The following is a 16,070-nucleotide window of genomic DNA, read 5'->3' on the forward strand; positions in this document are numbered from 1 at the left end:
AAAAGCCTTCATCTGGAATATTGATGCATTTCTCAACTCTGCATTTGTGAGATCTGTTCAGTTCCAAAAAGCTAGAAGAAATCCTGGGGCTTATTTTCCTGTGAGGAAGGGATGATGGCATGGGGACAGGGGTTTCAATTTGCTAGAATAGCTGAGGTCTGTTGCCCAAAGTTATTAATTCCATTCATTTCATATCTCCAATGTAGAAATTTAACTGTGAATATTTTTTTTTCAGTGAGATACTGTGGCCTTTGCCAGTTGAATCAATAATAGCAGGGTTGACTGAAGTATCAGCAGCACCACCACCACTACCACTATCGGCGTCATCACGAATGCCGAGTAATTACTATAATCCATGTACCATACTAAGCACTTTATGTATATTTGCTTATTTAATTCTTACAACTCTATGAAGTCATAATTATTACCCTATTTTATAAATGAGGAAGTGAGTTCAGAGAGGTAATATTTCTAATAGAATAGCTAACTTGGGTGATCCCTTACGTAATGCATGCACAGTTCTATACGCTTCAATGTGTAACACAAGCACACTTTATAAAAAGAACAAAAAAGGAAAACAAACCTACATAGTGAGATCCTGTAGTAAGATTTTCTAAATGTATTCTTTGCTGCCCCATAACCCTGAAACATGACCTATCTACTCTTATCTAACATAATTTGAGAAGAACTCTGTGTTTGACAAGGCCAGCAATTTACAGTTCTCATTTTGATGGATGATATTTTGACAGATAGCTCTCCAAATCATTGTCTAGATTCTCCAAATCTTATTCTTTATGAGTTATTATAAGTTGCTTAGCAAAGGCAGCTGCCCTCTGTACCCACTTTTTGGTGATTTGTGAAAATGTAAGTTCCTCTATTTAACCTCTACCCCAAAAGAGGACATTTCAGGTAAATGCCATGAGCGGGGTGAAAGAGTAGGGGTGTTGAGGCTCCCCATTTGAGCAAATGTGTTCTGGACAAGCAGGGAGAAACTGGAGGCCACTACTCACCTGTTTTACCAAACAAATTGTTAAATCTCCTTGATATTGGAGAACTCATAGAAAACACAGGTGTGGATGAACCCAGGGATGTTGACTAGAAGAGAGAAAAAAAGGGACAATCACAAAGCAAATTTGTGGGACCAAAGCTGTTTCCATCTCTAGAAGGATTGATTTTCCACCCTCTAGTGGTCACTGCCGGAATCTCTAGTCCCACTCCCAGAGGTCACATTAAAATACTGGAATCTTATCATCTGTATTAGAAAAATAACTGTCAAATACAAGTTTTATTGTTTGTTAGGCTTCTAGCATTTTCTGACATGTGAAAGGCAGTCAGATATATCCAAGGGCAATAGTTGTGTTCCAAAATGAACTACAGAAAATTCTATCCATTATTATTCTTCAACTTGTTTTCTCTAATGCCTTGAATCCCCCCAGAAGATTGCTTCTCATTGAACGTTTGATTTCAACCTTAAGTTTATATCATATATTATTTTAAAACCTATTTAAATATGTGGAGTAGCATCTCAATGACAGCTCTATGGCTCTATTTAATAGACAGAATGACTTGAGAAGCAAAAACAATGGAATGATCTATGCCAAATACAGCTGTTGAGGGAGACAGGTTTGAGGATGCAATATATTTAGCCTAATTGATCAAAATCCCAAAGAAAAAATTTAGTACTCTGTACTTCAGAATGCTAGTGGAATACATGATGTTATAAAATGAAAAGTCTCTGCAGAGAAAAAGTTTACCTTTGAGTGCTGTGAAGACCATCTCGACAATGAAAACTTATTCAGCAAAGCTTCCTGTACCTGCATTGTTAAAAAGAAGCTATCGTAACTTCAACATGCCACAAGCACTTCAGACTTTTCTAGAAACATGAAACTGTCATTGCTCTTACCTTCAGATCCCAGAGGCATCCAAAGAGTAAAATGAATAATCCCTGAGAAAAAAAAGATTGAAAAGAAGTGCATTTTAATTATAGTCTATTGTCCAGCAAAGGAGGAAGTACTGTTAACCTGGTGTTAAATTTGTACTACTTCTTTTTCCTTCTGAGTTTATGGAATGAGTCCAGTACATGATACTGTTCAAAGACAGGCATTTGGTCCACACCAAGGGACTCTAAATGTTATGATGTTAGGAAGATATTTTCTATTTTCCAATTTTCCTTTAGTTGAAAACTGGAGGTCCTGTTGGTTATGCTATTAATACACCTCTTGTGTCTACAATATTCTTTACATAGCTGTGATAAGAATCTGGGCTATGGGGTGGGATAACTAGTTCCTTCCAAATGAGGCATATCATGAAGGTCATTACATATGAACTACATAGCTTGGAGACACAGGCCCAGTAGCAGAAATCAAGGTTCATATGTTCTTGGCACAAGCATCCTGAAAGCAGTATCTCGAGTGTGCCTCCAGCCTCTGCCTCTTCACAAGTTTACAGTGGCCTCAATCCTTGGGCAAGTTTTTTTCTATCCTTACCACCTCTCCATTGGGTGAAACAGAATTAATCACTTCCTTCCTTGTACTTTAAAGGCTTGCTATCTATACCTCTGTTATAGTTCTTCTAACAAACTGGCCTGCACTGTAGTTAGTTATGTGCTGCAGGAGAGCGAAGAAGATGTTTTTTCATTGTAGTATAATCAAGCAGATTGTCTGGCATTCACAGGACATTCATTCTCTGATTTTTGATGTTTCCAGAGAAGCTGCTATGTGGTACATAGGATTTATTTCATTCAAATGATTATTGAGAACCTACTCTGTACCAAGGTCTCTATCAGGCATAGAGGTATAGTGATGAACAAGAAAGGGGCAATCCCTGTCCTCACAAAGACAGGATTTTCATTTAGGAGATAATAGACTACATCAAGATAATCTTAGACAAATGGGGATTTTCCTTTTACTAGTGTAATCAGTGTATTTAGCAGAGACTGGCAAATGACACTAAATTATAATGTAGGTGATAAAAAGCATGAGGTGCCATAGGATCAGAAGAATGTGTCCTTTCCATCTGATTGAGTTCTCATTATTACTGCTCTTTAGAGCTGAGGCTTCCTCTGGGCTGAAATCCTTCCCCATTCCTACTCTTGTTTGTGTTTCTATCATTAATTTGTCCTACAGGAATAAAATCTTCCTGAAAGCTCCGCACTGTAAAACTCACCTGGAAGACATTGAGGATGGCAAATATGATATGGAACACAAGGTTGGTCCCTGGGAACACAGTGGTGAGACCAAAACCCCAAGTGAGGCCCAAGAGTGGTGTGAGGACCCCAATGCTCTTGCTGATCTGAAACAGGCTGCTCTTCTCCTGCTTGCATGGCTTGTCTCCAATGGAAGGCCTCAGGATCTTGGTGATGACCACAATAGTGATGGTTATGTTCACCACCACAATGATCAGTGCTGGGATGGCGAAAGCCAGCAGGGCCTTGGTGTCCTCCCAGTTGAGCCAACAGACATTCTTCCTCGTATAGACTTCCCGGGGCTGGGTGGCTCCCAGCGTGATGACCGAGATGGCAAGTGGGCAGCCATAGCCAAGACAGAAGGCAATGGCTTTCTGAGTGGACCTGCTTGTTTCATGCAGAATGAAAACCAGGCGATAGAACAGCATGAGGCCCAGTGTCAGCATCCAGAAGAAGACGCTGAGGTAGAAGAAGTGGATGAAGAAGGTGGCAGCCACACAGGCTGTCTTGCAGAGTATGTAGCGATTGTCCTGGATGGCAGCGACCACAATGAACCAGGTGTTGGCGACCAGAAGGGAGGCAGCGATATTCACTATGCAGGTGTGGCGCATATAAGAAGTCCGGTTCTTGGTCACCGATTTCCACACCACAGCTTCCACAACTAGACAGGCTGCCAAGCTCAAGATGGAAAAGCCCACCCCAACATAAGAAATAATATCCAGGAGTATTCCCAGGAGAGAACTAGGATCTGGGGAGTCAGGGGACATGAGGATGGAGAATGATGTTAGGTGGTCACAGATACAGGTGACATTGTCCCCATCACCTTCTTCTACATAGCACCCACTGCTGTCCCACCCCCCTGTGTTGTTGGCAAGCCTGAAGTTCCAGAAGACACACTTCGTTTCGCCGCCTGAAGGGCTATTGTTCTTAAAAGTCATTGAAATCCTGAATGGCATAGTTGTATTGTGGCTGACAGTGGTTGTCATCACTAAGCTCTCTGCAAAGTTATTTTCCTGGATATCCTGGGCAAGGATGGCTTGGAGAGTTGGGAAAGCCATGGTGACAATAGACGAATCCGACTGCAAGTTTTCTAGATAGCTCTTGTCAATGACCACATTGCCCCAGAGGTCAAAGTATGGGAAAACAAACCTCTGTTGATAGGTTTCTGGGTGGCTGGACTTGATTACCATGCTGCTCATCTGCACATTAGTTTGGGAGAAGGACAAAGGAGGGCTATCTCCCGACTGTAATGCTTGGGAAAATCTTTCCACTGAATGTAGTAGCTGTGAACTCTGATTGGTCCATTGCTGTTGTAAAACCTTCCAGGTGTTCAAGACGGGCTTGCCAAGGATGACATTAACCGTAGAGAGCACGTGCTGAAAGTGAAATGGTATGGGGTCAAACTAACCAAATTCTTTCAATCATAAAAAAGAAAAAAACAACATCTTCCTAGAAACTGATTGCATAAAGGTAAGAGGAAATGAGAAAACAAAAATGAGACATCACAGGCAGTGGGGATGTATGACCTTCTTATGGCAGAGTTTAGCAAAGGATGGGTCCCCAAGACTGAAAGATGCCAGTAAGCATTTAGCAATGGTGACAGTGAGAGTCACACCCACTACACACCCTACTCTCTAAGGCCAATTCAGCAGGCTGGCAGGGATATTTACTATTTTATTTTATTTTATTTTATTTTATTTTAAATCTTAAGCCTATATTTTTAGTAGAGATGGGGTTTCACCATGTTGGCCAGGCTGGTTTTGAACTCCTGATCTCAGGTGATCCATCCGCCTCGGCCTCCCAAAATGCCTGTAATCCCAGCTACTTGGGAGGCTGAAGCAGGAGAATTGCTTGGACCTGGGAAGTGGAGATACATCTTTCCTGCTGTCCACTGCTCTCCCCGCTGCAGTCCCCTTTCTCCTGAGCACATGTCTGGTTATAGCTCTGGCCTTCCAAGACTATAGCTCCTGCTGACTGGTCCCGCCTCTAAGTCTTCAGCTCTCACTGGGCTCTGCACTGTTTCCTCTTTTTCCTAGGGGGTGATAATGGCTTCTAAATGTTGCTGGTCTCTGAGTGCCTCATCACCCCTGGTTTATTTGTTTGTTTGTTAACCCTGTCTTTACCTCTGTAGGTATCCCTTCATTAAAGTCTCTTCATTTGAACTCTTGTAGGTGAATTCTTTATCCTCCCAGAACCTCTATGCTTCCAGAACCTATCCTCCCACGATTCCTTTAAAGTTCACATTTAGTGCTAGACCTTTGAGAATATCATCTTGTATATTCTGAAAACCTTTAATTCCTAGTTTTTCTGGAAAGCAAGTATGAATTTATTCCATTTTAATGAAGAAAATAAAGCAGAGATTCACTAATAAATATTCTTAAGGTCTCAAAATGAATACTGGAAACATTTCCTAATATCCTAAAAGCCATAGCTGGCAGAACTATCCTGAGCACTGCTCTGGAAAAGACAGAGAAGCTGCAATGGGGAGGAATTACGTTTCTTGAATACAAATTCTGAGGGGTGAAAAGGTAAGACCCAAAACTCCTGCAAAGGTTAAGCAAACTCACCGTCATCATTTCTGAATTTACTTGGGTTGGAACTGTTGAGAGCAGATCAAGGATGTTAATAATGGCTCCCAGACTCCCAGGAGAAGAGCTGATTTCATGTTCCGCTTTGTCTATGCTAATAGAAAGATCCTTCAGGTATGTAGGGAGCATCTCATCCTGAGAGGGGCTCTTGATCAAAGCCTAGTAAAACAAAAGCCAACACAAAAAAAAATTTACCAATCAATTCAGCTATCGAATCCAGCTGATCCATTCCTGGCAAAATCTCTCACATCCGTTGTTTCCTTTTTTGCTCCATTTCCATAAATATGTCCCATAAGATGATGTGCTTATCCCTTAAGCACTCCATGCATGCTCTTCAGAACAGAATATGACATAAGGCCACACACAGAAGGGGAACAAATGTATGTCAACCTGATAGCTAATTGGAACAAAAAAGGGAAGCTAGATGTGATGGCTAGAGAAGTAGGTTAAAGTTGGGTGCAATGGTCACTTGGATAGTCGGTATGGAAGCACAGTTGCCACTTTTTGGTTTTCCTCATATCACTTACCCTGCCAATCATTAAAGTGACTGACCCTTCCAATTTTCCAGGGACTGTTCTGGTTTATACCTTTTCTCCTTGTGTATTTATTAAGAGTGCCCTCTTATATTCTCAAAATGTGTCCCGACTTAGATGATAGATTATATGGTCACCCTACCTGTATGATTACACTTCTGCTTTCTAACTCTCTCTTACTTAATCGTATAGAATAGCTCAAATTCTGTCTTCTACGAAAAGCATTTGATAGATGTTCCAACCCAGGAAAGTTCCTTCCTCTGAATGCGTAAGTATTGGTTTTATATAACATACTTTCATTTGTGGCATCTCCAGTAGTGTCATCTTGTGTTCTAATTTTGATATTGCTCCAATTAAATTATAAGCTCCTTAACAACATGGACCATGTGCTACATTTCTTTACATTCTTCTCATTCCTATAATTCCTAACATAGTACAAGTCATATAACTCAGCACACAGTAAGTATCCAGTAAGTATATGCTGAATGGATAAATCAAAGGAAGCATGATAGAGCAGCATGATCCTTTTCCATTGAAAATGTATGTAGGTATCTAGAATTGGGACTTGGGCCCACATCGAGTTCAGATTACAATTTCTATCTTTCTTCATTAGGATAATTTATATCTCTCATGCCTCATTCATCAAGGTCCAGCTCAGATGCCTATTTTTTTCAAGCAGATCTTCTTAATTTATCTTAGCCAAATTAATGTGTATGTAACTACCCAATTCGATTATTTTCTTTACCAGAGACAAAGATCTGATTTGGCCCATTTACCTTGACAGCACCTATAATCATGCTTTGCACATAGTAGAGATTTTAATAAATTTGGTGTGAGACAAGAGAAGAGATAGAAGTTAATTAGATGAAACACATATAAGTATTACCCTTTTTTTCAATTATTTACCCAGTGGTGAGAGGATTTGGAATTGGTTGTCTGAAGATGTCATCATTACCTATAACCTCACCAGTTGCATCACCAGAATTTTTTAATGTAATTCATGGAATTTTAGGAGTCTAACAACAAATCAAGTGTGGAGGTCCCATTTTTTTACATTGACAGAAGGAAAGGAACTTCTGCCCTGTTACATAGCGGTAACCTCTATTATAGGTAAGAGAGGCAGGGTAGTTGCTTCTTCAAAAGCACAAGTTACTTCCAAGTAGTCAGAAAATTTCATACCTGTAAGAGCATCAAGCCCAGCTATTTTTTTTAAAGAAATTGATGAAGCTTGTTTTTTTATATTGCTCCTTTTTCTGAAAGGATTATAGCAATTTTCTTGGTATCAAAATTACTCAAAGGAGAGCAATAAGAGAGAGGATAATACCGCTGCCCCCTGGAGGTATGGAACACATGGTACTGAGAAGTCAAGGTTAAGGTATCTAGTCGGTCTGAGAGCAGAACACATACTTAGTTGTCTTAGTATTTGAATTGAGGCTTTTTTTTTTTTTTTTTTTTTTTTTTGCATTTCTAGGGTTGCATCTCCTTTGGAAATACACAAATAAAAGTAGTTTTGGAGCAACACAAAGCAGCACCAAACCCATTTTCCTAAGTGCTGAGAAATATGATCAGCCAGATAGATCGCCCCACCAAGAGCTCAGAGTGGAAGCTTTAAGGATCACCTTAGCCATCTGGAGCAGACTGTTTATTGGGGCAGAGATGCAGTCATTTCTCTTCTCCTCCCACTGGGAGCCTACACATTTGTAAGTGATGGTCCCGCCAATGGGACTCTCAGGGCTGCTGGGAACGTTTGAGAACCGGCATAGCTTCTGGATGACTTTCCCCGGCTCTCCGACACCTATTACGGGATCCTGGCATGTGATGTTTTCCCCTGTGTTGGAAACATTGAAATAAAGGGATAATTGCAAGGAAGAGACAATATAGTAGAAATACGGTCAGGCCAAGGTAGAATTTTGATGTTTGAATTCACATTTACCTTTACTTTCCGTCACCTTTTCAGAACTACCCAATTTCTTAATTTTGCCCTTGATTTTCCAAAGCCCCTCTCTGCTTTCCACATGAACCTGACTTCTGTAATCGGAACTTCCTTTTCCTAACAGAATTTTATACCTTCATCTGGAGATTCTCAACTGTGACATATTAGAATCATCTGGGAAGCTTTTGAAAACACCAGTGTCTGGGCTAAGTAAATCGGAATCGTCAGAGCGGGATTTAGGCATCAGCAGGTTTTTAAGCCTCCCTGGTGATTCCAGTGTGCTGTCAAGGTTGAGAATCACTGCCATAATCCAAAGACATAATTGCTAGTAGGAACTCTAGGTACCCATGACCTGAATATTCTAATCAATATGTTTAAGCATTTGTTCCTTCTGGTTTCCCTTAGAGGTGATTCTATTTCACCTCTTCTCATGACCAGGCAAGGATGGGGAAATGACACTTGCTGTGGAATCTCTCATGTCCAGTGGACCCTGACTCTGATGAGACCCCTCCCTCACCAACACTTTTCTTTAACATTAAGATCTTAACCACTGTATATAAATCTTAAATAAGTAATGTTCTACTAGGAAAAAGAAGCGAAACCATATTTGGTATAAAGAAAGAGGAGAAGAACAAAGATAAGTGAATAAAATGTGTTGGCTAAGATGAGTGATGGGGAAAAGAAGAGGTGACCTTTGCTGCACCCTGGAGGGGTTGTACTTGTGCGTGGAAAGGTCAGGTGAAAGTGACTCTAAATTGTTTCCTGTTTTGGTGCCCAGGGGCTAGTTGCCAACATGTGAGAATGACCACAAACTATTCAGTAAACTCAAACAATCTTGGTGATAACGATCCTTTGTCTATCACAAGTCCTGTTGCTGGGAAGATTTAAGAGGATGAGGAGTTGCTTATGGTAGAAGCCCAGGGTCATCATTTACCCCTTGTCTTAACATAAGATTCTCCCTTAAGATGACCTTGTATTAGGATGATCTATCCTTCCCTGCTGCTGAGGGGAGCTCCCCAACATGGGCTAGCATAGCAATGACTCTGTAAAACATGAACTTTCACCTCAAAGATATTATGTGATGGCAAATTGACTCAGTGGTGGCAAAGGATGGGAAAGGCAGCTGCCTATTCTCGAGATTAATTGTTTTCATGTAGCCTTGTCTCAGAAAAACAGTGCAGTGTGGACACCTTTCATTTGCTGAAACCCCAAAGGACCTCAACCACATTGATACTGTCCACTTCTAATCACCTGGTAAACTCCTTTAGCAGAGCTAAGCCACCCACAACATTTCTATTTAGCTCTTACTGTATTACATGTAATAATTTTTTTTTTTTTTTTTTGAGACGGAATCTCTCTGTCGCCCAGCCTGGAGTGCAGTGGCACGATCTTGGCTCACTGCAACCTCCGCCTCCTGGGTTCAAGCGATTCTTCCGCCTCAGCCTCCCGAGCAGCTGGGACCGCAGGTGCATGCTCCCATGCCTGGCTAATTTTTTGTAGTTTTAGTAGAGACGAGGTTTCACCGTGTTAGCCAGGATGGTCTTGATCTCCTGACCTCGTGATCTGCCCACCTCGGCCTCCCAAAGTGCTGGGATTATAGGCGTGAGCCACCGCACCCGGCCAATAACATTTTTTTATCACATAGATTTCTTCCCTAGGCTTGAGGCCAGGGGACATGGCTTATTTCTTTTCTTTTAAATACCACTATGGTGAGCCCAGGGCCTACCACAGTGAGGGTATTTAACATATGTTTATTGAATGGGGATGAATGAGGGAGTGAATAAATAAATAAGTCCCTGCCCTGACTATAACATCTTAAAGTAATTTAAAACGTTCTTACCAGGAACCAGATTCAGCTTCATAGATGGGCTCCAGACTGAATTATTAGCAGCATTGGTAAAGTGACAACACACATCAACAGTTTTTGAACACCAGGAAACTGAGCTTGCATTGAAATTGTGTTTGTAGCACACTTGTTTTTTGTTAACTTCTTTTGCTGAAGACAGAATTATTGAAAGAATTAAGTCACAACATGAGTCTCTAATGCACAAATTGTGTTAAGATAACCTAATATGAATAAACCTGTCCAAGCTTTCCCGAGGAATGTGCCACATTCATTTTTAACAGGTTTTACCTCTGGGTTTTGAAGTATGTAAGCCCACATTTGCATGTGTGCTAGTCAAAACTTCTCCTCTACCATTCATGACTCCAAGTCACACATTTTTGACATTCAGAATGCCTTTTCAGCATTCCACAAATCCTTCTCCCTATCTAAATTTCATCATGCTCTGAGCATTTATCCTATTCTGCCTTTACCATATTGGTATATAGTCACCTATTCATGAGTTTGTCTTCTCTACTAGACCATACGCTCCTGGAGAGAAAGTACCTTGTCTTATTTATCTTTCCATCTCCTGGTGCTCAGCTCAGTATCTGGTGCATAGAAAGCACTGAATGTATGCATATTAAACACAGAATGTTGAAATGCTGCATATGTCAAAATCCAGATTGATTATATCCCTCTGCCATGCAGCCTTCTTTAAAGACTACAGTGTTTATTGAGTCCCCACTTTTCTGAACTTCTACTGTTTTTTTAGTCTGTATTATTCTATTTGGATATTTTATATTATATGCATTGCCTTTCAGGGCATGGGCCCTTCTAGATATTAAAATATGTGCCCCACTTCTTTTTTCTCCCTTTCATTGCCTACTATGGTGTCTTGCGTTGAGTAAGCCCTCCAGAATAGTTATTGAAAAAATGAATGAGCTTGTAAATCCCTCATGAAGTTGTCTGTGTTTTGAGATTTTTGGGTTGTGAGATCATGCTGGTTGACCTTAATCTCTGGGAATCCCTAGGGATCTGGATTAAGGGCACCATCTACCAGAGAGACTTTGATTTTTTTTTCTTTTTTTGCTGGTTGACATAGGGTGCTACCAATGGACAACTTTAAACTTAGGTTGGCACTCCTGAACCACAAAGGAAATATAAATTCAAAGCCCAAACCTGAGTGATGGCAGGACAACTATATTTTTTGGGGGAAACCTTTTGTCCACCCAGAGATGAGGCCAAGGTCTCAACTCTGGCAGATGAATTTTGTTTTCCTAGCTTAGTCTCTTACTGAATGTGCCACTTTTTGAAGGTCTTAACATTGTGTCAATGGGGTGTGAGTGACCCATTGTGTGTTTAGGGAGCACAGTCTTTACTTTTATGCCCTCTGGAGCCTTAAAACCCAAGGTTCTGGGTTTCTGATATTGGCAAAAGCCCATAGGAAAGCTCCAGCATTAGTTAAAGCATCATTTCTATTTTATTTTCCTCTACTTTTTTGGCACTTGGTTGTTTCTCATACTTTCTTACATGCTCAATTATGCATTTAAAGGGATTTTCATGGCAGTTTTGTGGCATGCAACTTTATAGCATGGAGGAAAAGATTGTCAGAATATCTAGTCTGCCATATTCATTAGAAGGTATCTCAATACTTTCTTCAACTTCTCCCAATTAAAAAAAAAGGCTCCACCATTGCAAACTCCCAAGATTGTACCATAAACCAATGAACCACTAGCCACATAGCAAAATAGAAGGTAACAAAGATTCATGGGATTCTACTCTGTTAATTCTATCTCTGATACAATCCTATGTCTCTTGATCCCTATTTTAAGACTAAATTTTTAGACTCCACATATGTGAAATAATATACCCTAACAATTCAGCAATCAGCATCTTACCAGCAGGAAGGGATGAGGAACCCGTATGGAAAGTAACTTTGTAGTCTCCATCCTCCTCTATGCAGCACTTGATGTGATGGGAACCACTGCATGAAACAGTAGCTTCCAAAGGATCAACCATGATGTTCAGCTTTAGAGGCAGCGGGTGAACAATGACGTCTTTGGTTGCAATACTGTATGAATTCTTATATCTAAATATGCAGTGATAGGTTCCTGAGTAGAAGACGGCAAAAATGAGATGGAATGGAAATAATCGCCCTTCAAAAGCATCTGCTGGGAAGGTTAAGAAGAGGCTTAATTTTCCCTCTCAAGCTTTAGTAAAGGAATACCACAACTTCCTGGACACTGGAGGAAAAAATGCTTGATTGATTCCTCTTCTGGGTTCTCCATGCACTTGAAGGACTAACCAATGACCACGTAAATATGCACTTACTTTCAAATAAAATTAAGTGGCTTATTCAAGGCCAAACAGCCTGTTAGCGGCAAAATTGGATTTCAAACCAGGTTTTCAATTTCTACTCTAAGGCTTTTCTACCAACCCAAGGAATAAATGGGAGTTTTGCCGTGCGCAGAGGTGGGGAGTTTTTTGACAATAATTGTTAACCTGATGGAACACTGTGGTGTTATGACACCCCTATCTCCCATCTCTAAGTGAGCAGGCCCTTGCTCATCATGGCCCCAGAGGACAAGTCATCATTTGGGCAGCTGCCATGGAGACATACAGCAAGATTACAACAGCACCTACAGTTAAGTAAGACCCTTCAATTTTCTTTACATTGCTTCCCTTTGCCCCAGCTCTGGAAAAGTCAGAAGCAGCAGCTAACCAGAGGGCGAACGAGCAAAGAAAGGAAACTCCTTTTAATTCCTGCTGCGGGGGGGAAGAGGGAATTTAAATTGAATATAAAATGACAGTGTAGTAGATTTAGATGAGAATATGACTTTTCAATAACTGATTATGGGACTGTTTAATAGATTAATGTGACTGCAAAAGCTAAAATTCTTCCTAGGTTATTGGCTTTTAGTAGGAAAGAGTAATTGGACAGAGCAGGATTGAGGTCAGCCTGGAAGAAAAATACTTCCATTTCCTGACTGTATACTACCAAGTCCAGCCCAAACAATAACTAGTTGTTTCTACAATGTTGCCTAGGCCTTATATGAAAATAAAAAGAAGACATGGGACTCACGGAATCTAGACTGATTAATCTCATAGTTAATGAAAGGCTTTAGAGTGGGGTGGCTAAGAGTTGACCACTGGAGCCAGTCAATCTGCGTTTGCATCCTGGCTCTGCCACTTGCCAGATGTATAACCTTGGGTAATTTACTTAACTTTACTGAGTCTCAGTTTCCTCATCTGTAAAATGGGGCTAATAATAACAGTATCCTCTAGGTTTATTGTTTCACATGAATTAATACATTTAAATACTTTGCATAGTGCCTATCACATAGTTAAGGGCTCAATAAATATGAGCTATTATTGTAGCAGTTCTATCTACCAATTTCTCTTTGCTTTCAAAGATTTGCATTTCCTCACAAAACAAACAATGGATAGAGGTAAACAGGAAATTAAAATGTGTTCCTTTTTTTGGAACCAAGCTTATAAAATCTTTACCTAGCTGTTCTAAAGCACAGTTGGGTCAAACACTCCCTAGTGTCTAGTGAAAGTACTTTTAAAAACAATCCTCATAACTTAATGGCAAGGGTACAGGGTCTGGAATTAGAGACACTAGTTCCATTCCTGGCTCTAGAACTTAAGTTGTTTGAGCATATTTACTTTATCTGTAAATATGGAAATAATGGCATCTTCCCTCAAAGGAATGTTGCGTTAAGTGTGAAGACATATTGAATTTAAAGTGGTTGGCATAGGCATGTCTCAAAGAAGACCCTACACAGATGGTAACTATTATTGCATGTTTCCAAGAGCCCAGGCAGCACAATACGGTGTCCGGCCTTTCACTCACCATTCCACTCCCTGGTCGAGGTCTTGACTGTCAGTACTGATTCTGCTCCATCAAGATACCTCCTCGTGGTATAAAATCTTTGGTATATTTTAATTCCAGCAGAAGTGTTCCAATAAACCTCATCATAGTTACTCACATCACTGATGCATTTTATAGAAAAGTTTTGTCCCTCAGAAACAGAAATTGGGTCCGGGGTTATTGTTAGATTGGCTGAAAAAAAGGCAAACAAAACAGACAAAAGAAAACTGACAAGTTCAATGTGTAGTATCTCTGGGGACATTAACATATGACTGAAACTTCAGAGAGGGACAGAAAAAAAAAATGAACCATCCTGACTCTACTCATGTCAAGGTAGAATTGGTACCTTGCTGCTCCTGGGCTTTACTCGTTTCTAGGCTGTTCCTGGTGGTGCTCTGCACTGTACTCATTTCCATCACATGCCTTAGGACCTCGTGCACTTCACTTTTGTGGCTGGAATTATCTCCTGATGATCAGCAGGGTAAAAGGTTGCAAACTTAGGGGTGTCGCCTTATCCCACGCTCCCCTCCAACCTCCTCTGTAACACCTTAAGGGAGAACAAATGGCCGGGTTCCTCTAACAATCTCAATCTCTACTCTTTTAAAATACTTTTTAATAATACCACATTGTGTATTATTTTCTCTCTTTTAATATCTCCCCTCCATAAAAATGTGAGCCCTCAAGGGCAGACCTGTAGCCTCTGTGTCTTTGCATCCCCAGTACTCAGCACTGGGTCTAGTACACAGTCAATGCTTAATAAGTGAAAGAGTGAATTCTGGAACTACATTTTAAGTACAAGAATCATAGCCTGTATTGCCCAAATATGAGTTGGTTTAAAAGTAATGGCTAAAAGCACAATTACTTTTGCACTAACCTAATAATTACACCTGCACTGTCAGGTAAACTGGGATGTACAGGTACCTTAATTATAACTATATAACTACAGCAATATAAGTATTTATATGTAATTAGTTTCACTATATATATACTCCTCTAAGAAGCTTCTCACAGGTTCATGAAAAATTACTAATCAAAAATATTAATAAGACTATTACAAATATAAAATATAAATATAAAAGCTTATATGAGCTTCCCACTATTTTTGTCTAACTGTGCACTTCTCTTTGAGTATATCTTTACATGGTTGATATTTCAAAACACCATTCACTTCAGTCTTCTATAAGTGAACAGCTTCATTTTGTGAGCCCACTGATGCTGGCCTACTTACCCAGTCAGTGTGAAATCTTATTATTAATAATATTATTATTTTTTTCTTTTTAGAGACAGGGTCTCATTCTGTCACCCAGGCTGGCACAATCACGGCTCACTGCAGCCTCAATCTTCTGGGCTTAATTGATCCTCATGCTTCAGCCTCCCAAGAAGCTAGGACTACAGGCCCACATCCCCATGCCTGGCTAATTTTATTTTTATTTTTTATTGGTAGAGACAGGGCTTTGCCATGTTGCTGGGGCTAGTCTGAAACTCCTAGCCTTAAGCCATCTGCTCACCTTGGCCTCCCAAAGTGCTGGGATTACAGGCATAAGCCACCATGCCTGGCCTAAAAATCTTATTCTTAATCATAATCCAATGACATCAGGGCTTTTTACAGTTACCATTTAGAAGCTGGGATTCAAATGTTCAGACAGCCCAAAGCCACTCAAAGAAGGTGTAATATGTCCCTGCATTGCCCTCCCCATCCATAGGCATCTTGAGATGGCTCTCTAAGGCTTAGCTATTTCTTTGAGTAAAAAGAAAAAGGCTCATGGAACCATGAATTTGGTCCTCTTGATTGTCTGATGAGATTCCAAACTACCAGACTAGTGATTTTCAGCAAAGGCTTAACATGTCCCTAAGACAGGTCCCAGTTTTGTGGATAGAGGTAAAGTTATGTTAAGTAATTTGGAGAATGATTAGTTTTACCTGAAAGCATTATTTCGCTAGAAGAGCTCATGAGTATTTTGAGCAATTTGCAGTTTTCTGTAGTGAGAACAGTTTTGATTATTTGAACATAACACAACTCTTTGTTAAAACTAGGAATGCAAAACTGTTCTACCTGTAGATATATGATTATTATATAGCTATATATTATATATTATAGATATATATTAGATATATAGATAGATTACGCCCACA

At 40.2% G+C, this 16,070-nt stretch overlaps 1 protein-coding gene across 9 annotated transcripts in view; it reads right to left on the reverse strand.

Annotated features, from left to right (window-relative positions):
• ADGRF5 (adhesion G protein-coupled receptor F5) overlaps window positions 1-16,070 on the reverse strand; it is a 102,418-nt gene that overhangs the window by 2,442 nt on the left and 83,906 nt on the right. For 6 of the 9 annotated variants that reach the window (XM_005248893.4, XM_017010422.3, XM_005248892.4 and 3 more), the window contains 10 exons: window positions 14,284-14,403; window positions 13,920-14,129; window positions 11,962-12,174; window positions 10,079-10,234; window positions 7,925-8,133; window positions 5,752-5,931; window positions 3,166-4,560; window positions 1,904-1,945; window positions 1,755-1,814; window positions 1,011-1,095 (listed from right to left, as the gene is read on the reverse strand). In XM_005248893.4, the coding sequence (XP_005248950.1) occupies window positions 1,011-1,095; window positions 1,755-1,814; window positions 1,904-1,945; window positions 3,166-4,560; window positions 5,752-5,931; window positions 7,925-8,133; window positions 10,079-10,234; window positions 11,962-12,174; window positions 13,920-14,129; window positions 14,284-14,403 (2,670 nt within the window). The remainder of the gene's footprint in view (window positions 1-1,010; window positions 1,096-1,754; window positions 1,815-1,903; window positions 1,946-3,165; window positions 4,561-5,751; window positions 5,932-7,924; window positions 8,134-10,078; window positions 10,235-11,961; window positions 12,175-13,919; window positions 14,130-14,283; window positions 14,404-16,070) is intronic. The other 3 variants (XM_047418326.1, NM_015234.5, NM_001098518.2) reach the window with 1 other exon arrangement.

Source organism: Homo sapiens, chromosome 6 (assembly GCF_000001405.40).
Source record: "Homo sapiens chromosome 6, GRCh38.p14 Primary Assembly".
Taxonomy (NCBI): domain Eukaryota; kingdom Metazoa; phylum Chordata; class Mammalia; order Primates; family Hominidae; genus Homo; species Homo sapiens.